This window comes from Homo sapiens, chromosome 10, assembly GCF_000001405.40.
Source record: "Homo sapiens chromosome 10, GRCh38.p14 Primary Assembly".
NCBI lineage: Eukaryota > Metazoa > Chordata > Mammalia > Primates > Hominidae > Homo > Homo sapiens.
Window position 1 is genome coordinate 22,374,883 of NC_000010.11, and position 24,435 is coordinate 22,399,317.

A 24,435-nucleotide genomic window follows, 5' to 3' on the forward strand; every position below is an offset into this window, starting at 1 on the left:
CCTTGGCGTAGAAATAACAGGAGGAAGTGATACATGCAGTAGTAAGAGGAAGGAAAGTGCTTTGTCCCACAAAATACCTGCTCTACTTGATAACGCCTACAATTCTTTTAGTTTAAATCTTTGTTTTTGGCTTTATGCAAATACCTGTGGGAGAAATGTGATTAAGTGTATGTGTGCTAAATGGATAAAGAGAAGGATATTTTGTGTACTGGTGGTTTGGAAATAAACCAAGTTTGAACAATGCACCATGACATGTTTCTCTATTGTTTCTTGAACTTAGTTTGTTTTCCAGTCACTGGCGTATAAATCTGCCTAATACCTTTTTGATATTGGGGGGAGGAGCCCACTTTTATTTACATTTGAATTTCTAGAAATACATGAAGCAAAATATACTTGACTGAAATTTGAAAGTGCTCCAATTGAGCATTTCACAAACATCTACAAGAGAGTTTGCTATTAGAAGCTCAGGAGTTGGTTAGCATAAGAATTGTACCTTGAGATAAGACATGTTCATCATCTTGTTTTCCCATAGATTTTTAAATCCACAGTCTACAGGAAAATAGGAGCTGTATTCTCATCATGTTAGCTGACTGATTTTGCACAGTTAATTTTTGGAGCTTGGTTTGCTCTTATCAGGGTTTTAGATGAATGAACTAGTTTGCTCTAAAAGTGTGGAATAAGTTAATTGCCTCAAAGGATTTTCTTTTTTTTTTTTTTTTTGAGATGGAGTTTTGCTCTCGTTGCCCATGTTGGAGTGCAATGGTGTGATCTCGGCAACTTCCCCCTCCCAGGTTCAAGCGATTCTCCTGCCTCAGACTCCCAAGTAGCTGCGATTACAGGCGCCTGCCACCATGCCTGGCTAATTTTTGTATTTTTAGTAGACATGGGGTTTCACCGTGTTGACCAGGCTCGTCTCAAACTCCTGACCTTGTCATCCTCCCGCCTTGGCCTCCCAAAGTGCTGGGACTACAGGTGTGAGCCATTGTGCCCGGCCACCTCAAAGGATTTTTGAAGATAGGACCTCTAGCGTTTTTGGTGTCACTGTGCTATAACTAGCCACAGACCATTTCTCTGTATCCCTTTTGATCTCACACTACAGTGTTCGCAGTATGGTAGCCTCTATTCACATGAGACTTTTGCACACTTGAACTGAGGCTAGTGCACATTGAGGAGCTACATTTTTTATTTTATTGCCATTTAATTAATGTAAATTTAAAAATTGATACTCAACTTAGTTATTTAAAAATTTGTAGGTATAATTGGAGCAACTTGGGTATGTGACTCTACCTTTTCAACTGTAAACTTTTTGAAATCTAAATACTTATTGAGCATTTTTGATGAAAATTTAGTGGCTGAATTGAGAAATGCTGTAAGTGCAAAATACACACTAGATTCCAAGGCTTAGTGTGAAAAAATGTAAAATATCTCACTAAATGTTTAAAATATTGATTGCATGTTGAAATTATATTTGAGATATATTGTGTTAAAGCATATTAAAATTATTTTCACCTATTTCTTTTTACTTTTAAAGTGTGGCTAATTTCGAGTTTTAAATTACATTATGTAGATAATATTTCTATTGGGTAGCACATAAAATTACTGTGTCTGTGCTTTGTAGATATTTGTTAAAAGGCAATGTGCTAGTAATTCTGTGGTCTTAAAAAGACATGTGTTATTTTTGTTTATACATACGTGTATACAAACATACATGTATACCAGTATACATACATGCATGTGCGTATACTTGTGGACATGTGTGTGTGTGTGTGTGTATGACCTGTAGTAGCCAGCCTCCCACATCGTGTGTCCTGGTTTTCAGACCCTTGTTTAGTCTTCTCCTGTCTTATACCAGGGCTGGTCTGTGTGGCCAGCAGAAGTCATGGTATGTCACTTCCTGAGAACAAGTTATAAAAGATAAGAGGCCAGGCACAGTGTCTTATGCCTATAGTCCCAGCACTTTGGGAGGCCAAGGTGGGAGGATTGCTTAAGGCCGGGAGTTCAAGACTAGCCTGGGCAACATAGCGAGATCTCATCTCTTAAAAAAAAAAATTAGCTGAGTATAGTGGTGTACAGCTACTTGGGAGGATGAGGAGGGTCACTTGAGCAGGAGTTTCCGGCTGCAGTAAGCTATGATGGCGCCACTGCACTCTGGCCTGGGTGACAGAGTGAGATCCTGCCTCTGGAGAAAAAAAAAAAAATCAGTGCTTCTGTCTTGGGCACTCTGTCTTTCTTGGGCCACTTGCTCTAGGGGAAGCTGTTACGTGGACACTTAGGTGGCCTATGGAAAGGTTCACATGGTGAAGAACTGAGGTTTCCAGCAGCCAGCAAGGAATGGAGGCTTCCCAGCAATGACGAGATTGAGCTGGAAGCAGATCCTCCCCAAGGTGGGCCTTCAGGCGACTGCCCCAGCTGACAACTGGACAGCAACTTTGTAATTCTGAGCCACAACCACCTAGCTAAGCTGCTCCTGAGTTCTTGACCCGCAGAAACTCTGAAATAATAAGTGATGTTGTTTTAAGCTGCTCAGTTTGGGATTGTGTGTTACATGACAATAGATAACTAATATGTAATCTGAATGCAAAAGAGGTTCATTATACTGTATAATAGCAAACAACCAAACCAAACCAAACCAAAAATTAATTAAATGTCCTCAAGTGGGAAACTGGTTAAGTAAATGATGGCATATTTGCTCAGTGGGATATTAGGCAACTGTTAAAAATGTTGGGTTAGCTGAATCCTCAGGAATAAAAGTAGCCAGTGGAAACCCATGAGGGTGTGAGAACCACTCAGGGGAGTCACAGCAAGCACTGCTGACCAGGGACCACGTTTATAAAAACATGACATCTACATATTACCCTCCCAATGTTTTATTTTTATTTCCTCTTTCTGTTTTCTCTCCTTTACCTGTTCTAGAGAATCCCATCAGGGTACCTGTGGCCTTTTGCTGTCTAGCCTTCTCCATCAGATTGTGCTCCTTGAAGACAGGGACTTCTTACCTAGCACTGGGCTGGAGCAAGGAGTGAATACCTTTGAAGTTTGAATAATAACATGCATTTTCCATGGTTTTTAAAACTGTTTCTATTATTTATTTTAAAAATTATTTTTGTATATTAATTAAAAAATTGTTATGTATTTACGGGGTACAAGTACAGATCTTTTTTTCTTTTCTTTTCTTTTTTTTTTTTTTTTTTTTCTTTTTGAGACAGAGTCTGACTCTGTCACCCAGACTGGAGTGCAGCGGTGCAATCTCAGCTCTCTGCAACCTCCGCCTCCTGGGTTCAAACGATTCACCCACCTCAGCCTCTCGAGTAGCTGGGATTGCAGGTGCATGCCACCACGCCTGGCTAATTTTTGTATTTTTAGTAGAGACGGGGTTTCACTATGTTGGCCAGGTTAGTCTTGAACTCCTGACCTTAGGTGATCTGCCCACTTCGGCCTCCCTAAGTTCTGGGATTACAGGCGTGAGCCAGTGCGTCTGGCCATGAGTACAGATTTCTTACATGCATACATTGCATAGTGGTGAAGTCTGGGCAGGTTTTTTTTTTTTTTTTTTAAGCAAAATGCAAAGTTATAGGTAGAGTGAAACCACAACTATGGTTGCAAATGCTATATAAAGCAGGTGGAAAACAAATGAAACAACTTCTAGATTCAAAAAGCATTACTTTGTAAAGATGTAATTCCATTTATTTTAGCTATTTTCTTCTTTACCGGGACACTCCAGACCCTCTCTGTAGTTTTGCGTTACTCGATTCAGCTTGGTCTCAGCTGTTAAAGGTCTAATGCTAAATTAGTGGTGGGGATGGGAGCTAAAATGACTTCAAATTTCCTCAGCCTATTGTTGTTCAAGGCTATAACCAAGTGTTTTTGTTTTGTTTTTTTTCTCACTTTCCTTTTGTCTGGTCTCCACTTCTTGACTTTTTCTTACCATGTTTTGAAGCTGCTTTTTACTTGAGTCCTGTGAGAGCTGCCTTCCCTCCCAGCTGATTGTAATTTCTTACTAAAGCCCTGTTAACTCCAGATCAATGGCTTATTTGACTCACTTGACTTTTTAAAGGAGCCAGAATTATTTCGCCTTTAAAGCAAATGTATGTATGTATGTTAACCCTTAAGCTCTCAAACACTCAACCCATGTGTTAGGGTTAAACTAATGGCTCTGACGATTGGGTGGAGGCAAGAAAGATAGAAATGATGAGAGTAGGAAAAATGACATTTGTGTGTGTGTGAGAAATAAAAATCACTCGAGACTTTTACATAGTAATATGCAAATTCCCCCTTTATGCTTTTCTCACTTCCACCTGCAATTGGAGATGTCAATCTCTCAGCTGAGAATGATAGCTCTAGTGAGTCACTGTTGCCTATGGAGGGATGTTGTCTTGCAGATGTGTTGGTGTAGAACAAAGCTTTTTGTGGTAGCAGCCTCCATGATGCCTGCCTCCTCTTATTCACATCCTTGTGTAGTCCCCTCCCCCGTTGCACCAATGCACTATAGCAGAGGCAATGCTATGCCACGTCCAGGCTTAGATTATAAAAGACTGAAATGTCTTTTATAATCTTGAGTCTTCTCTTTTGAATCACTTGGGTCCTCTCTTTTGAATCACTCACTTTGGAGGAAGCCTCATCATGAGCAGCCTATGTAGAGGCCCATAGGGCACAGAACTAAAGATTCCCTTTAACCCTCCCACGAGTGTGCCTGGACACATATCCTCAATTGACTACAGCCCCAGTTGACTTCTTGATTGTAGCCTAGTGATAGGTCTTGAGCCTGAACCTGGCAGGTAAGCCACTCCTAGATTCTTGACCTACAGAAACTATGAGATAATAAATGTTTGCTGTTTTAAGCTGCTAAATTTGGTGTGATGTTACATAGCAGTAGATAACTAAACCAGTTGTAAACAGCTGGGTTAGACCAAAACCTAAAGAGATTTTTCTTTGAGACAGGGTGTTGCTCTGTTGCCTAGGCTGAGTACAGTGGCATGATCACACCTCACTGTAGCCTTGACCTCCTGGGCTCAAGCAATCCTCCCACTTCAGCCTCCCGAGTAGCTGAGACTACAGGCACGTGCCACCATGTCCAGCTAAGTTTTGATTTTTTTTGGAGACAGGGTCTCTCTCTGTTTCCCATGCTGGTCTTGAACCCCTGGATGCAAGCAGTCCTCCCACCTTGGCCTCCCAAAGTGCTGGGACTACCGGAGTGAGGCACTGCGCCTGGCCAACAGATTTCTTTTACTTTGGAAGTGCTATTACCAAAATCATGCTGGAGTTACCAGTAAGTAACCAGCTTTGGTAATTGCAGCAACATATTTGTTATTATAATTTCACCCAATCATGAAAAATTTGGTTGAATGGGATGAGGAATTATTATTAACATAACATTAATATCATATAAGTGGCAGCCAATTTTAAATGTAGGTTTTGTTTGTTTGTTTGTTTGTTTGTTTTGAGACAGGGTCTTGCTCTTTTGCCCAGGCTGAAGTGAAGCAACGTGATCTTGGCTCACAGAAACTTCTGCCTCCTGGGTTCAAGGGGTCCTCCCACCTCAGCCTCCCGAGTAGCTACAGGTGCTTGCCACCATGCCTGGCTAATTTTTGTGTTTTTTTTGTTTTTTGTAGAGACGGGGTTTTGCCCTGTTGTCCAAGCTGGTTTTGAACTCCTGGCTTCAAGCAATCTGCCTGCCTCAGGCTCCCAAAGTGCTAGGATTACAGGCATGAGCCACTGTACCCAGGCAAAATGTAGATTTTTTTTTTTAGACCTGCTTTATTTCAAAAAGCTTTTGAAGTGATACAGCTGTATATTTTTATGGCAAAAACCAGCCCATCTTCAAACTGATAAATAGGGCCACCTAACTGCAAAGAAATGATTAATTTATAACTTTGTTGTATTTTTTAATGAAACAAAATATAACTTTGGTAGGGCTTAGAGATAGTTAAAAGCAGTGTTTGAAAAAAAATTAAAAAGCAATAAAGTTTAAAGAGATTAAGTTCCAGAGGAGTTTTTTTTAATTAGTGTGCTGGATACATATTTTTTTCTTTTTTCTTTTTGGAGAACCTCTTCATTTTGAATTCTTTTTATGAGTCCTCATGATCACTTGTTTGCTCAAATTCTTCTGTCTCACATCTCCACTATGAGCTGAAAGATTATTCGAGTATCATATGTTTAGAGTAATCCTTTCTTAAGAGTCAATTTTTAGGTTTTTATTAATTTCTTAGAATTCTCTGAATTTTCTTACGTAACCACAATAGTGGTTCTTCCTCTGTGACCCCAAACATGACTTCAAAAATTAAAAGTAGAAAGAACATCACCTTTCCATACCCAGAAAGCCCCCCACAGGCTGTTTTAGAGGGTGTAAGATTTAAGCCTATGGTTGTAAAATGGGGTGGTTCAGGCCGTAGCAGGCCCACAGAGGGGTGTGTTTTATTTGGCCAGCACTATGTTGTCTCACACAGTGTTCTTAAAAAAAAAAAATTGCCAACACTTAAAAACCAGATAATTTCACATTAAAAAAAAAAAGTCCTGACAACAGTAGGCCTATATTCCTACATAGCAACACTGGGCTGAAATTAAGAAACTGCTGCCCCTTGTAGATGGTCCCTAGGCTTTTGCACTTCACTACTGCTCTCCCACTCCCCGACCTTTTTTTTTTTTTTTTAAATGTCCTCTGGCTTCATTTATTTTAGTTACTTTCCCGGGCCCTGTGGGCATTTGCATTGACCACTTCTGATCTAAACAGACAACTAGCCGTGACATAATTGAGAGAGGTTGCAGTCACTGGGGCACTATTAAAGCAAGATTACTTTTGTCTTATTTACCTAGTAACAACCATACTTATACTATGCTAAGGGGCATTCCTGTCTGCTCTCTTCCCTTCCAGTCAACATAGAGTTATTTCTAATGTTCCACTCATGCAGCTTTAGATAGTACTAATCTTATGAATGTTGTTGATCTTAAAAGTCCTCCTTTTAATTTACGTTCTCTTTTTGTTTTAAACTTAAACCTAAAGTCATACTGAGGTTTTTGATTATTCTAAGTTGAAGATTTTGATCCACTTAAATTGCAACACTTCTCATGCCTGTTACTGACAGATCACTGCAAGCTTAGCCCTTCGTTAGGAAAAAACCAAACAAACCAAAAACCCAGATTCCAAGAACAGCACAGAATGAAATTCTTAAGAAAATGCAACTGTGTGAGAAGCAAAGTCTTGTCACCCCAAGTTTTTACGGATCAAAAAATTGTATGCACATACCCTCATAAATGTTGTTGGAAAGAATTATGGAAAAACTGAGAGAGGCAGAGAAGTGTGAAAAGATTACGCTTCCCCCTCGCTTGTCACAGTACCACAGAGGAGGCTGCCTCAGTTTCTTCACTCAAAATGAGCTACTCCTAAGCCACATAAAACTAGTTATTCCTTTACTAAAAAACAACTGATCATCAGATTTGGCGACTGTACATTTTTATCTACATATATGCAATAAACAGCTTTAATTATTATTCATGAATAAGGAAGGTGCTATTGGATAGTTTCCTCTGACAGTTTGCAGTCAAAAAAAAGGTTAAAGATAAATAACCCCTAATGTTTAAAAAATGTAATATTTTAACTTTAATAAGGGTCTGAATTAAGGCAGCAGGGTAAGTGTGAAAAAGTAAATGAATATTATTTCTAGTATATATTATTAATTCTTTGAAGAAGAATGATACACTCCTTTCATATAATTTATTTTAAAAATAGTGATAGAGGCAGGATGAAGTAGCCTGTTGGATGTGTAGTATGTATGATGTGCATTATTTAGGTGTGCCTTATTAAAGAAGACATATATTCCACCATCTTTTAAAATAAGAAACTTTCTGCTATATTAAAAATTAAGCTAAAAATTTTACATTTGTTTATTTCTTTGTAACAATAATGTTAGTACAGTTAGGCCCAGCAGTAGCTATATGTATGGGCAAGAGACATGCTTATATTTACTTTTTTAAAACTCATATTGAAGAAAATTTGGCAAACAGAGAAAAAAGATACCACCCATAGTACCATCAACCCAGTATAAATGCTGTTAGCATGTTGATATAACATGTAGCCTTTTCTCTTTGCATTTTTAGACATAGGTATAACCAGTTTTTAATCTTGTTTGTTATGTAACAGTATAGGATATGTCACATATTATTGTGTAATGGAAGATATATTATAAAAATTTTTTGAAGATTTACTTAAAATTTGAAATGAGGCAATGATATTTTCAGGGACTGAAGATAAATTTCTTGGCTCACTGCTTTTTTTGGTCAACCTTTTTTGAGCATCTAAGTTGGTACATATCAATCTTTGATTTCATAATGTGATAATTGGACATCTAAAAACTCATTTCCATGTTTGAGTTTAAAATGAACTTCATGAGATTTCTCCTATGGGAAGTGATCTTTAGGTGTGCAGAGTTTTGTATGTGTTTTGGTTGCTGCTGGTTTTTTTCGAGTAGAAAATACAGAAAAACCTGGGCGCAGTGGCTCACACCTGTAATCCCAGCACTTTAGGAGGCTGAGGTGGGTGGATCATGAGGTCAGGAGTTCAAGACCAGCCTGGCCAAGATGGTGAAACCCTGTCTCCACTAAAAATACAAAAAATTAGCTGGGCGTGGTGGCAGTTGCCTGTAATCCCAGCTACTCGAGAGGCTGAGGCAGAGAATTGCTTGAACCCAGGAGGCAGAGGTTGCAGTGAGCCAAGATCACACCACTGCACTCCAGCCTGGGCAACAGAGCAAGACTCCATCTCAAAAAAAAAGAAAGAAAGAAAATACAGAAAGAAAGAAGAAAAGAGGAGAAGGAAGGAAGGTTGGAAGCACTTCCTGAAATGATACTTCTGTATACATTTTCCCTGAACACTCCACAGACCTGATTCCTGGCTCTGCTCTGTACTTGTAGTGGCCTGTTCATGTATTCACTCTGAGCAGGGTTTTCTAGAACAGAACAATGTTTTTATTCCCTTTCCCCAAGATCTAGCCAAGTGTGCAGCACATAGTAAGCACTTAATGAACATTCAGTGAGTGAAAGAGGAGAGAAAACCATGTACAGACACCAAGCATAAGAGAGGAAGGAATTATATCAGGATGTTTTTAGCTGTAAGTTGTAGCATGTAAACTACAAGTGGCTCAAGCAATAGGGACATTTTTTAAATTCACATGACACAAAGTTCAGAGTAAGGGCAGTTCCAAAGCTGGTTTTGCAGCTGAACAATGTCATGGAGTACCCAGATGTTTTTCATTTTTGTACTCAGCCATCCTCAGCATATTGGTGATTTCTTCCATTATAGTTGCAAGATGGATGTAGGAGTTCCAGATGCTATTTGCAGACATGACCATGTCCAACAAAGAAGAGGTGGTATTTTCTGCTGTGTATCTCAGTTTATTACAGAGCTTTCACAGTTGCTTCCAGCTGACTTCTGCTTAGGTCTAGGATTGGCTCACAAGCCTATGCCCTAGCTGACGATGGCTATCGGGTAGACACCAACAGTGGCTGGCATAGAAACAATAGAGGAAACAATAATGGGAAAAAGAGTAGTGATAGGTCAGAATGAAATAGCCTGTTGGATGTGTAATATGTAGAGTCTACATTATTTAGGCCTATTGTATTCTTATCTGTATATACATTCACTATCTGATATTTAATATTAACATATGTTTGAAGCTAGGAGAACAATACTTCTAAGTAAAAAGTGTGCTACTCAAGAGCAGTAGAACCATATACATTTGGGGATGTAAACTATATGAAATTGCAAGTACAAAATTGCTAGGCCCACTTTAGGTCCTTGGAAACTTCTTTAGCTTCATGGCAAATCTTTTTCCACTGCCATCCCCGGCCTTCCCCACATTTAACATTGCTACTCTGGAGAGAATAGAAAACTTGGGCAACAAGTTAGAAGAACAGAATTTGCTTTCTTTTTAACATTATGTTATTCTAAGGAAGAAGGACATTGCACTCAAGAATTACTCAAGGAACAGGTCAAATGAATGGGAATTATAAAGATAGATAATAGATGTTTTTTTAAAAAGCATCTTGAGTTTTTGTTAATAGTACTTTTAAACCGTTGTAGTTTGCTACATATTCTTTACTCGTAGAAACTGGATATAAAAGTGAAAATACATCAAAACAAAATATTCAGCCCACTAGATATATATATTCCAGGTGTGCTTAAATAGGGACATATGAATTATTACTATATGACACTTGTATAATTTGGATAGAGTCGAATTCTTAAGCAGAATGTTAATTATCAGAAAATGAGTATTTTATTTAGAAATTATATGTAATATAACATTTTATATTTTTTTCCCATTTCCTTTGGATGGGTGTGGGGGTGTGGTGGGGGAAGAGAAACAGTGACCACCTGTGTCACCTGCTGTCTTCATGGTCTTCAGTCTATTGCAGTAGCATCCCAGAGGCTGTTTCTGAGGAACCTGTTGTATTGCTAGATTGATACTGCAGTCTGTTGGCTATTGTCTTCTATTTTAAAAACAGAGCAAAACAAAATATATTCCTGTCATCTGCCTCTCGTTCTTGAGATTACATAAGAACTTCCCATAGTATACTAGCTTTTACACCAAATTTTAAAAATTGAAACATACCTTTGCCAACGAATGTAGTGGTAATTTGCAGAAGTGTGTCATTGGCGCCGAGCTGAATGAGCCTGTCACTTAATAGCCTTCCATTAATACTTGTTTAATGGAAGAATGAATGAACTGTTTATACAATATTGGGACTTCTAAGATAATTATGATAATTTAAGGAAAGCAAATATTGGACACTAACCTGTATTTGCTAACATTTTCTTTTAGAGGTTGTGATATTACCAATACTTTGAAAAATCAAACACTGTATTATCTTCAAATTAAAGACTTTAAGTGATATGCTAAATAGAGCTCTTAGCTTGACAGTTAAGACATTTATATATAACTAAGGCACTACACATCTGGGAAAATAAGAACATATTTTGAAAGGAAGAGATTCCAGAAATGGGTGTCTGTGATTCAGTAAGAGGGGCCGTGAATACAATGTGAGTAGAATCTGTAACTGTGTGTGGTGCTTTATGCTTCTCAAAAGGCAGTTTTTTCATGATATTATATGGGTCTGCTTGCCTGTCTCCCATTATCTGTAATTTAAAGTGTGCTATTTTTGTAGCTGTTATTCTTGGACATACAAGTAAATCAACATGTATGTTCAAAAGATATGTACTTGATTTCTGACAAGAGTAAGATAAATTTATTCTTGTATCTAAACATTAGCATTTATATACAAAAGTTTATTGATTAGTAGTAGGTCTCATTTTTGAAAGTATTTTTATATGTACAATGAAAAGGCAGCTTTCTATTTTGTATGAAATTTTTAAAAAATCTTTTAAAAGTACTACAAGATAAAAGGAATTTAAAAATTGACATTATTGGCACAAGATTGATGTTAATGTTTACTCACGTAAATAGCACAAAATACTGCCTAATTAGTGTGGTTGGTAAATTTTTGGTACTTAAATTTTCTCTGTTATTGTAAACCATGCATAAAATGCTTGTCTATTGAGAAGTGCAGAATTGTCAGAGCTTAAACAGCTGACATCTGCTTACTCTCTTAAAAAAAAAAAAAAGAATAACAAGCCATTTCAGCCTAATCTACCTCAAATGTGTTCATGTAAATGGAGGTCCATCTATTGACCTGTATTCTTTTCAGCTCAGGATTGGTCCACATGGTTTATGAAACCAGGAAGCCTGATTTGAAATGCAGATGTTGAGAGAGTGAAGTACACCCTCCCCTTTTTTCTTTGCTGTATCTGTCAGGGTGAAAAATGGCTTGCACAAGGGTCAGTCACCCATACTCACTTAATTACTTTTCTTGGACCCACAGAACTGTCACAAGCTGTGGTGGATGCAGGAGCTGTTCCTCTTTTAGTACTCTGTATCCAGGAGCCAGAAATTGCTTTGAAAAGGATTGCTGCTTCGGCCCTCAGTGATATTGCAAAGCATTCTCCAGAGTTAGCACAGACAGTAGTGGATGCAGGAGCTGTTGCTCATTTAGCCCAGATGATCCTGAACCCTGATGCTAAATTGAAGGTATTTCAAAATAAGGTTGAAAAATACATCAGCCTTCTTATAATGTAAGAAAATGGAAATGTGTACACGTGAATATTTTGCATCTAAAAATAATTAGCAAATTATCATTGAAAACAGATATGAATATATTATGTATTTGGTCTCTTAATATGTGAAAATAATACTGTAAGGATTAGATAAAGATGTGATTGGGGAAACTATGTACAAGATCAGAAGTAACAACAGTGTTAACATTAATAATTAAAATACAGAATCACATAATAATTAAATCCTGGTTTGGAAAAGACCTAAAGATTTTTGAACCCACCACTATAATATTGTTTCTTATGGAAATTGCAATATTTATCTTAGCCTTTTTTATAGCTTTCTAAAATCTGATTTTTAGTTAATAGTCACCAATTATACTTTTATATTCTAATAGTTATATCCTATAATGTTTTAAAATTGTTAACATTAACTAAGCAATGGAACATTCTTTGAAATGGTATCAGCATCATGTCAAAGATATTGTTCTGCTTGATGATTTTTGTACTAAATGATCACCTGTCTCATAAATTAGCAATTTCAGTGTTGCATAATTAAGAAGTGGTATTCATCCAGAGGTCATGTTATTTAATCATCTGTAATAGATAGAGTTTCAAAATATTGAGAACTAATTTGGAAATTAGGAATTTTTAGAACTTGGGTATAAGACTTGAATGTGAATGTCTCAAGACTCAGAAATCTTAGGCTGTTTAGGCATGTACATTTTTTTCCTTTTATAAAGGAATTTGAATATATATAAAACTGTTTACATTACATCTGAACTCTGTAGTGGATGCTATATAGTGTTTTGTTGTTGTTGTTTTTTTTTTGCTTCACAGCATCAGATCCTTTCAGCTCTCAGTCAGGTTTCAAAACATTCCGTGGATCTGGCAGAAATGGTTGTTGAAGCAGAGATTTTTCCAGTTGTACTTACCTGTCTGAAGGACAAGGATGAATACGTGAAGAAAAATGCTTCTACTTTAATTAGAGAGATTGCAAAACATACACCCGAGGTGAAAAGAAACTTCAAGGCACAATAATATGTAGTAGTTAGTTTTAGTTTTTAAATAAAACATCAATTTGTTTATAGGGCCTAGGGGTTGTGGCACATGATCTAGTTGAGTCAGGATTTCTCGTCTTCTACTGATGTTTTGGACTGGGTAGTTCTTTGTTGTGGGGAGCTGGTCCTGCACATTGTAGGACGGATGTTTAGCAGGATCCCTAACCTCTGCCCACTAGATGCCAAAAGCACCCTTCTCCCGCAAGTGGTGACAATCAAAAATGTCTCCATACTTTGCCATGTGTTCCTCAGGGAGCAAAACTGCCTCCAGTTGAGAACACTGGGTTATATTAGCAGAGTTTGAGCTTGAAATCTGTTTCTAGTCATTTCCAACTTTCCATTTGTAGATTGTGAGGACAATGGAACTTTGCCATCCTTACAATTTTATGTCAGCTGGGAGTAGTGAGAACACTATTATAGCTCCAGGTTGGGAGAAATCACAAAGGTCCCCTGGCCTACTGTGACCACTCCAGTAGCTGCTCTTACATGGTGATTTCCCGCCCTGAGTTCCTAGATGGGAAAGAAATAGAGAGAAAGCAAGCCTGTGTTGATTCTGAAGTATCTTTTTTCTGTGTATATTTTGACTAATCAATTTTTATTTCATTAAACTTTAAGTCCTCATTGTTTATTTCATCTAACATCTTTATTTGCTTGAGATTTTTCAAAATTAAAGTGCACTCAGCTAGTAATCATTACTAGCAAAGGGGGAATAATTAGGTTAGAATATTTCAAGTCCGACATTGTCTTTCACCATTCAGTGATTAATCTGCTTCATACTCACCCATTGTGATGGGGGGGTTTCAGTAGTTAGTTATGAACCAGCCCTAGGCTTAGAGTCTACATGAGGAATTTTGACATCCATTATAATAGGGATAAAAGTTGTGCCATCGATGCATGAAAAATTGAACCACAGAGTAAAGCTCCTCACAGTTTGTGCATTTGAACTAGCAGGTTTATTGTACTTGTATATTTCTTTAATAAATATAATAATTTCACTAAATGATAATTCAATTTCACCAGTTGTTTTTAGGTTCTAAATAGAGTGTGGCAATATTAAACTGTATTTAAAGACCATCATAGGGTCCTGGTGATCTAACTCTTGTTCCCATCGCTTAGCTTTCACAGCTGGTAGTTAACGCAGGAGGGGTTGCTGCCGTGATTGACTGCATTGGGTCCTGCAAAGGGAACACACGGCTGCCTGGCATCATGATGCTTGGTTATGTAGCAGCTCATTCTGAGAACCTAGCAATGGCAGTCATCATTTCTAAGGTTTGTTCTTGCTTCGTTTTCTTCCAGTTGCAGTAAGAAATTCTAAGACAGAACCACAGATTAATGTTCTCCAACAGAATACAAAATATAACTGACTGGAGCAAAAAAATTACCTGAAAAAAATTTTGATTGTTTCAATGCTTATTAGCAAGTTTTATTAGCAAGGTAATGGGAAGTTTAAAGTTTTACTCAGCGTTTCTCATCAACAGGATATCAACTATTTTGAGCATTAGTATTATCTGTATTTAAATATTAAGTTTATTTGTATCTTGAAGGATTAATTGTACATATCTACAAACATGTAAAGCTTACCTTGGTTAGAAACACCTATTTGTAAATGACATGCCCAGTAGTCATTTTCAGTATTCTGGGAGGTCTATATACCCCTCCATTTCCTGCCACTTCAGTGGGAGATGACAATGGCTAGGACATCCCTTTTTATCCACTTTCTCTTCTTCAGCTTTTATTAACTATTTCTCTTCTTAGATTTAGGCAATTCAGAGCACATGTCAGTGTTTTTGTTTCCTTGCTCTAGGGCTTTTGCTTTATCTCAGTTCACAATTTTGTAAGAACCCCTCATCTAGTGCAGCCCTGGCACATAGTAGGTGCTTACGAAATGTGTGCTAATGAATAAATATTGATCTCTGGACGAATGCTTCAAAGCCTGTGTGCTTACAGTGTGTGCGGTGACCCTCTGGGGTGTGGGTTTCTTATCAGCATAGAAAACCTGCTGCTGTATGTTAAACAGAAATGTGGATTTTTTTTATCCCTTACTAATCCTCAGAATAAAAAGGAGCCTCAGATCTTTATTTTCTACCTATTTCTTGATAATTCTTTGCTTTACTCCCTTTTATCCTGCTCTTTTCCTTTTGTTCTTCTACTACCACAGACTGTGATAGTGACTAGAGCAATAGTGGTGCTTTCTGAAGGGTCACGGTAAGGATGTTACTAGGTTTTTGATCCTTGGTTCTTTTGTGGATAGTCATGAAGCTTATGCATGGGAAGAATGATGAAAGAAGAAGCAATTGCCGTTGCTTCCCATATGCCTTCCTGAAATTAACCAGGGAGCTCTCCCCTTCTTTGGTCTAAGGTTGCTGCTGGCCTTTCCCACTTGGTTTGTTTTTCAGATAGAGATCAAGGTGTTGCTTGCTGAAACTCCAGCAGTTTCGGGCAAGCCACATAGTATGGTAGCACTCTCTGCTTTTCCTGTGTGGTACTATAAAGACTAACAATAATACTTTACATTTAAATAGTAATTTTAAAGCAAATTTGCATTCCTTATCTTATTTGTTATTCATTATAATTGAGGCCAACAAGTCAGAGCTTCAGGGATGGAGTAGAGGCACTGTCTCCTTTTCCTCCTGTTTCTTCAGTCTTGTTACATCCTGGACATGTGGGCTTTCTGGAAAGTTGCTTCATTCTGAAGACAGGTCTGACCTTTAATATTGGCAGACATACATTTTTAGTTGTAGGAAAGAAGCCAATGAAGAAATATAGCTGACCTCTTCAGGAAATTGGTCTTAATAACCAAATTAAAAAGCAAAGAATAAAAGTATATATGATGATTCTGGCCTTTGCTGTGGTAGCATAACCATGTGATCTTTTTTTGTGGTACCAAATTTAAGGTGATTACCATAATCTCAAATTAGTCAGAAAATTACACCTGTACAGAATTTGGAATTAGAATTTGATTTTTTAAAATTGTTCCTTGGGTATACAAAATGTAATGTATTTGAGGCTCTTTAGTTTATTCTGTTTTTATTGTTTAGATAAAATTGAAGCATAAGATGCAAAATGTAAGCATGTGCTGTGTAACAAAAGTAGTCGTTGTTTTGACATTCAGTCATGTTAAAGTGGAAAGAACTATAATTTAAAAGTTGACCATAATTGATGGAAAGTTATTTATGTACTGTTTCAGGAAAGGTGTTAGTGAATATATTCCGCTGACAAGGTACTTAGGATTCTTACTGATTTATTTTATTCTCAGGCTTATTATATCAGGTTTATTATATTTGGTGAAAAGACAATTTCTTTAAAGATTCTAAACTTTTTAACAAAGGAAAATAAATGATTTTAAAATTCTAAACATTTTTATTTAGTCACAGTAAAATCTGGCTTTGCCTATTTCCTAGTCTGTGACATCTGTTGTCTGGTTAAATACCTCTCTATTTGGGGGGTAAAAGCTAGTAGAGAAATTCTTGGTTTAGTTGAATCGTTACCGATAATTAAGGTAATTTAGTTCTAGTCATGTTATTGACTTAAGAAATGACAGCCCCTGTGATGTGCTCATTTATTGAACCATTTAAGAAAAAAAGGATCAAGGCCGAAGTGATTTCTTCTCATGTTTGAGAGACATGGAAGACTCTTTAATCCTGCTCTAGATTCATAACACTTGCTCTTTTGATCCACGCTGCAGGGTGTACCCCAGTTGTCAGTCTGCTTGTCAGAAGAACCGGAAGATCATATTAAGGCTGCAGCTGCTTGGGCCTTAGGACAGATTGGAAGACACACTCCTGAACACGCACGGGCTGTTGCAGTCACAAATACTTTGCCAGTTCTGCTTTCTTTGTACATGTCAACAGAAAGTTCTGAGGATCTCCAAGTAAAAGTAAGTGCTTAATTCTGTTTTATGAAGATTTTGGCTCATTTAAAAAATATGTCATTTCAAATCTCTTTGTTTTCATCATGGACAATATTGTTTTATGAGTCAAGAAATACAAATTTATCAGAACTGACTTCACTCTTCTTTGAAAATGAGTTACCCTGTCTCTAAAAATCAGTGATATATTTTAGAGAAAATTCTCTATGGGTGCAAAGTTGTTTGTAAAATGAATGGTTAATGCAGTCTACATTCCTGTTGACTCTTCTTATGTAGTGGGAATTGAAGAATAATAGAATTTTTTAGTTTGAATTTGCTGGAGAGACCTCTAGTTCATTTTACATTTAAAAGTGAAATCCAAAAGAATTTAAGGTACCTTTCAAATGTATCATATAACTAGTCAGAGGGCATTTTTGAACCCATAATTTACCTCTTTAATTCCAAGGTCACCTGACCTTTTAATTATATGTCTTATATTTGTTTCTTTAAAAAATTGTCTATAAGACTCACTAAATTAAATATTTTTAAATCATGCATTTTTAAAAGGCAGATTTTCTGAAATATTACTAGCTACTAAAATGCTTCACAAAACATGAATATGAAGAAGGATGGATTATTTAATGATTTTATAATTTAAAAAAAAAGAAATAAAATGTTTTCCAGCATAGTTCCTATTAGGAAAACTTGTAAGTTTTTGAAAGCAGCTTGTAAAATTGACTTGGTTTGAGGGAAGTTCACAGAACAGACAATAATTTAACAGTAAATTAAATTACATTTAAATTTTAATTAAAACAGTAAACAAATAGGAAAACAATTTGGTGAAACTTAACTTTAGATGGCATAATGAGATGGGAAGTTTTCTTGAAGTATACACTTAAGGGACTCTGAAAGTTATGTATAGTGAATTATCTATTTGACTTGTAAATTTTATAAAAGTAAATTTATGTATATTTGGTCATGTTTGCATATTATTTCTCTACTAATGCATTGAGAGAAATTGGTTTCTAAGATTTAACTTTTTTTTTCAGTTTTTATAAGGCTTTCTAGACCAACAATTATTTAATAGATTTAGAACTTCCCTCATATGTCTCTCACATGTGCATTCTTTGGCAATGCTTGGTAAAGAGAGAAAGATTAACAATGTAAGGTCTTTTCTAGTTTAGCAGGTCTCTTTAACTTTCTGGTGAGAAACCAAAACTCTATTCCTAGCTTTAAGTTGTCCAAGCACAGCTGATATACATGTATACGTGTATATAATTGTAACCTATATCTGTAGTCCTCTTTTGGCTTCGTATTTCTTTAACCCATTATCATTGTTGTTTTTCTCCTCCTCCTTTCCTTCTCCTCTTCCACCCTCTCCTGCCACCCTCCTGAGTTTCCTCTTAAGTTTTGGAAATAAAGTAAAGGGATGTATGAGCTAGAGCATAAATCATTAATAGTGGACTCAATAGTAATTTCAGCTTGAGAAGCCCTTGCAAATAGTCCCTTAGGTAAGAGTATGTACTTTTTATATACTACTACCTTATATATCTTGCCTTTTAATAAATTATTATGATATTATGTTGTATACATATCACTGGAGAAAAATAAATTTGAAAACTTCACTTTTTGAAGTAAGATAAATTTCATTGTGTTTAACAAGTGGTGTTTTTAGGTTAACTAATAGAAATTAACTTCCTTCTGCCTATATTTAGTACAGTGTTACTTTCAGGAAATACACTGAGTAGTAAGTGAAAAAGTGGGATCTTTACCAATCATTATTCCATCAACAATCTTTTAAAGGCTTCGAGCCCATCCAAATATTTTATTATTGTAGGGATTTGATCATTCTTTTTTCTTTCCCCACGGTCTCGTGAATTCTCTCAGTTGTTATTTTAAAGGGTGTAGAATAAAAGTCCATTCAAGCCTGTTCGATTTGACACCATCTCAGTAGGGAAAAGTGTATCCAAGAGTGTCAAGAACTGTCTAATGGTATTTCTCATTTGTTACTCTATGGCAGGTTTCAAATTATAAGCCCATGTTGAAGTTCATTTTGTCCCAAAGGCATGTCAGCTTCTGTAAGCATTCTCTAATTGGTTTCCATGCAGGAGAACGAATGAGCAATCTTTTGGAATTTCTCTCATGTTTTCTTTGGAGAAATATCTATTGAGACCCTTTGCTCATTTTAAATTGGGTTACTTATCTTTTTATTATTGAATTGTAAGAGTTCTTTGTATATTCTGGGTACAAGTTCTTATGAAATGTATGATTTGTAAATACTTTCTCACATTCTATAGATTTTCTTACTATTTGCTCCCATGTTATTCCAAATCTCTTAATAAAAATGGAAAAGAAGTTTTTTTCTAATAAGCTTATCTACATGTTTTGAAAATATTCAGGCAGTTATACCTTTATTTGTTTGGATTTAGAGGCATCATATTGAAATGTTTCATCTTACTTTGGCATTTGAATCAGCTCATTCTAGTTATAAAACTATGTTTAAGATAATTATTTAATTATTGTGTTCTTACGGTAATAGTTGTTCCCCCTTCATTTTTTAGCAGCTTTATTGAGCTATAGTTCACATGCCATACCTTTATCCATTTAAAGTGTACCATTGAATGGTTTTGGGTATGTTTACAGAATTATGAAACCATCACCACTATCTAATTTTAGAATATTTTTATTCCCCATAAAAGAAATGCTACCCATTAGCTGTGATTCTGTATCCCCTCTGCCTAGCCCCAGGCAACCATTAATTTACTTTCTGTCTCTATGGATTTGTCTCTTTTGGACATTTCATTTAAATGGAGTCATACAACATATATAACCTTTTTAGAGATAGGGTTTCTTTCTGTTGCAGACTGGAGTGCAGTGGCATAATCAACTCATTGAAGCCTTGAACTCCTGGGCCCAAGTGATCCTCCTGCCTTAGCCTCCCAAGTAGCTAAGACTACAAGTGTGTACTGCCACATCTGGCTAATTAATTTTTTCTTTTTTTGGAGAGACAGGGTCTCACTGTGTTGCCCAGGCTGGTCTTGAACTCCTGGCCTCAAGCAGTCCCCCACCTTGACCTCCCAAAGCACTGGGATAAGAGGTGTGAGCCACCACACCTAGCCATGTGCCTGCCTTCTTTACTACTTACTTGAAGTTTCACAGTTCGTCCATGTTGTGGCATATATCAGTATTTTGTTCCTTTCTATTGCCAAATAATATTCTATTGTATTAATATGTCACATTTTGTTTATCCATTTACCAGCTGATGGACGTTGGATTATTTCTACTCTTGACTATTATGAATAATGCTGTTATAAACATTATTGTAACAAGTTTTCGTGTGGATGTATGTTTTCATTTCTCTTGGGTATTTACCCAGGGATGAAACTGCTGGGTCAATAGATAACTCTGTTTAACATCTCGAGAAACTGCCCAACTGTTTTCCATTGTACTACCAGCAAGGTATGATGGTTCCACTTTTTCCACATCTTTGTCAACTCTTGTTATTATCTTTATTTTTGATTGTAGTCATCCTAGTGGGTTTGAATTGGTATCTCATTGTGGTTTTGGTTTGCATTTGTCAAATGGCTAATGATGTTGAAAATCTTTTCATATGTTTATTGGCTGTTCATACGTCTTCTTTAGAGAGATGTCTATTCAGACCCTTTGCTCATTTTAAACTGGGTTATTTATCTTTTTATTATTGAGTTGTAAGAGTTCTTTGTATATTCTGGATGCAAGATCTTATCAGATGTATGATTTACAAGTATTTTCTCACATTCTGTGGGTTATCTTATTTTCTTGATGATATTGTCTGCAGCACAAAAGTTTTAAATTTTAATGAAATTCAATTGCATATGCTTTTTGTGTTGTATCTAAGAAGGCTTTGTCTAACCAAAGGTCATAAAGATTTACTCCTATGTTCCTCTTCATTTTAATAGCTATTACTCTTTGGACCACAATGCTTTCAGAACAAAAATAACTTTCTGAAAAGAATTTTTAAAAATTTTTCAGCAGTTTTCATTCAAGATAATTGTATTTGTTTGTTCTCACACTGCTGTAAATAACTACCTGAGACTGGGTAATTGATGAAGAAGTTTAATTGACTCACAGTTCTGCATGCTGTACAGGAAGCATGGCTGGGAAGCCTCATGAAACTTACAATCATGGCAGAAGGCAAAGGGGCAATAAGAATGTCTTCACATGGCAGAGCAGGAGAGAGGGAGCGAAGGGGGAGGTGCTACATGCTTTGAAACAAGCAGATCTCATGAGAACTCTGATATAGTTTGGCTCTGTGTCCCCAGCCAAATCTCATCTTGAATTGTACTCCCATAATTCCCACGTGTTGTGGGAGGGACCTGGTGGGAGATAATTTGAATCATGGGTGTGGTTTCCCCCATACTGTTCTTGTGGTAGGGATTAAGTCTCATGATAGTGGATGGTTTTATCAGGGGTTTCCACTTTTGCATCTTTCTCATTTTCTCTTGCTGCTGCCATGTAAGAGTGCCTTTTGCCTCCTGCTGTGATTCTGAGGCCTCCCCAGCCATGTGGAACTGTAACTCCAATTAAACCTCTTTTTCTTCCCCATGTCGGGTATGTCTTTATCAGCTGCATGAAAACAGACCAATACAAACTCTACTATGTTTACTCTCCAACACTGAGAGCAAGCCATATCAATAATCCACTAAGGAAAGCAACAATTAGTAATTTTTGGTATTCTTCCAATTTTTAGTGAAAAACAATTGAAATTGTATTGGTTTCCCATAGTATTGTCAATTTTATTTTGTTAATTGCTATTTTTATGTGTAGTGTTAAGAGGTAAAAAAAATAGTGTTGTTACTTACTGTGGTTTTTCCAATAGCCCTAATCAGGGAGGATACAGTCAGTTTTTAGAAATGACGGAAAAATGAATGAAGTTAGAACTGTAGATGCTATGCTAGTTAATAGGTAAACCAGGCCCAAACCCTCAGAATGCCCTCAATAGATAGCCCAGGATTCCTTCTCTGACATCGTCATATATTGTATCTAAGGATAAACATTAACTACTAAATGCAATGACAATTAGGAAAATTTATAATCTGTTATTCATTAGCTCAAGGTAAGATATTACTTGATTTACTGAACTAGGTAAATAGGAGAGTTTTTTTGACCCCATAAAATTTCTGTACAATTCATGGTATGGAGTTGTAAGGGCTATTTTATTTTGCTCACAGCCATAAACAACCAATCATAATGCATATCTTCTAGAAGGTAATGAATCTTAAAACCAACGTGTGACATGATCTTGTATGTAAAAAAATCCTAAGGAATTCACACACACAGACACACACACACACGCACACACACAAATCATAGAACTAATAAGAGTTCAACAAAGTCATGGGATACAAGATCAATATACAGAAATCATTTGTATTTTCTTTTTTGAGACAGGGTCTCACTCTGTTGCCCAGGCTGGGCTGCTGCCCAGGCTGGATTGCAGTGGTGCAATCTCAGCTTACTGCAACCTCCACCTCCCAGGTTCAAGTGATTCTTGTGCCTCAGCCTCCTGAGTAGTTGGGATTACAGGCATGTACCACCATGCCTGGCTAATTTTTTTGGTATTTTTAGTAGAGACAGGGTTTTGCCATGTTGGCCAGGCTTGTCTTGAACTCCTGAGCTCAAATGATCCACCTGCCTCGGCCTCCCAAAGTGGCTGGGATTAGAGGTGTGAGCCACTGCTGCTGGTCTCTCAATTGTATTTTCATGTACAGGTAATAAACAATTCAAATATGAAGTTAAGAAAATAATGTTATTCATAATAACATCAAGCATTAAATACATATAAATTAACAAAAGTTTAAGACTAGTACACTGAAAACTATAAAACATTACTTAAAAAATAAATTATGAGACATTCCATGTTCATGGACTGGAAGACTCAATATTGATAAACTGGCAATACTCCAAATTGATCTATATATTTAACATAATCTCTATCAAAATCCTAGCTGGCTTTTTTTTCCCCCAGAAATTGAGAAGCTTATCTGAAAATTCATGTGGAAATGAAAAGAACCCAGACTAGCAAAACAATCTTGAAAAAGAAGAACTTAACACTCCCCAATTTCAAAATGTACCACAAAGCTATAGTAATCAAGATAATGTGGTACTTGCTTACAGAAAGACATATGTATGTATCAATGGAATTGAATTGAGAATCTGAAATAAACCCTTTTTATCATCAATTGATTTTTCACAAAGATGCCAAGGCAATTTAATGTGGAAAGAATAGTCTTTTCAACAAAGGTGATGGGACAATTGTATCCTCAAGTAAAAATATCAATTTGGACCCTTATCTCATACCATATACCAGAGTTATCTCAAAATGGATCTTAGATCTAAATATAAGTGTTAAGATTATAAACTCTTAGAAGAAACCTGGGAATAAATATGTGTTACCTCAGGTTAGGCAATTATTTTTTAGATATTTTACCTAAACACAAGTGATTTTAAAAATTGATAAATTATATTTCATCAAGATAAAAAAAAATCCTCTTATGCTTCAAAAGACACCATTAAGCCTGGGCACATGGCTTATGCCTATAATCCCAACACTTTGGAGGACAAGGCAAGAGGATCACTTGAGGTTAGGCGTTTTGAGACCAACATGGGCAACATAGTGAGACCCTATCTCTACAAAAAACAAAACAAAACTAGCAGAGTGTGGTAGTACATCCCTGTAGTCCTAGCTATTTGGGAGGCTAAGGCAGGAGTATTGCTTGAGCCCAAGAATTTGAGGCTGCAGTGAGCTATGATCCTGACACTACACTGTAGCCTGGGTAACAAAGTGAGATCCTGTCTTTAAAAAAGAAAAGGTTAACATTAAGAAAATGAAAAGACAAGCCACACAAACTTGGAGAAAATATTTGCAATTCAAGAAAGGAGTTTAAGTATTATTATTTTTTTTTTTGAGACAGAGTCTCACTCTGTTGCCCAGGCTGGAGTGCAATGGCACAATCTCAGCTTACCGCAACCTCCGCCTCCTGGGTTCAAGCGATTCTCCTGCCTCAGCCTCCTGAGTAGCTGGGACTACAGGCACCCACCACCATACCTGGCTAATTTTTGTATTTTCAATAGACACAGGGTTTCACCGTGTTGTCTAGGCTGGTCTCGAACTCCTGACCTCAGGTGATCCATCTCCCTTGGCCTCCCAAAGTGCTGGGATTACAGGCCTGAGCCACCGCGCCTGGCTGAGTTTAAGTCTTTTTAACAACTTTATTGAGATATAATTTACATACCATAAATTCACTCATTTTAGGTATACAATTTAATGATTTTTAGTAAATTTACAGAATTGTGCAACCATCTTCACAATCAAATTTCAGAATATTTTCATCATCCCAGAAGGAAGCCTCATGCCCATTTGTAGTCACTCCCTCTTCCTCCTCTCA

General features: G+C 36.7%; 1 protein-coding gene across 6 annotated transcripts in view, besides 1 other annotated feature; it reads left to right on the forward strand.

Annotated features, from left to right (window-relative positions):
• SPAG6 (sperm associated antigen 6) overlaps positions 1–24,435 on the forward strand; it is a 72,115-nt gene that overhangs the window by 29,387 nt on the left and 18,293 nt on the right. For 4 of the 6 annotated variants that reach the window (NM_001253855.2, NM_001253854.2, NM_012443.4 and 1 more), the window contains 4 exons: positions 11,872–12,077; positions 12,941–13,114; positions 14,278–14,430; positions 16,847–17,038. In NM_001253855.2, the coding sequence (NP_001240784.1) occupies positions 11,872–12,077; positions 12,941–13,114; positions 14,278–14,430; positions 16,847–17,038 (725 nt within the window). The remainder of the gene's footprint in view (positions 1–11,871; positions 12,078–12,940; positions 13,115–14,277; positions 14,431–16,846; positions 17,039–24,435) is intronic. The other 2 variants (XM_005252646.3, XM_047426030.1) reach the window with 1 other exon arrangement.
• Positions 3,978–4,207: an enhancer, noted in NCBI's record as "active region_3131". NCBI's record gives its function as "activates an Ori minimal core promoter by ATAC-STARR-seq in GM12878 lymphoblastoid cells {active_cell/tissue: GM12878}" and the evidence as "EXISTENCE:reporter gene assay evidence [ECO:0000049][PMID:35858748]".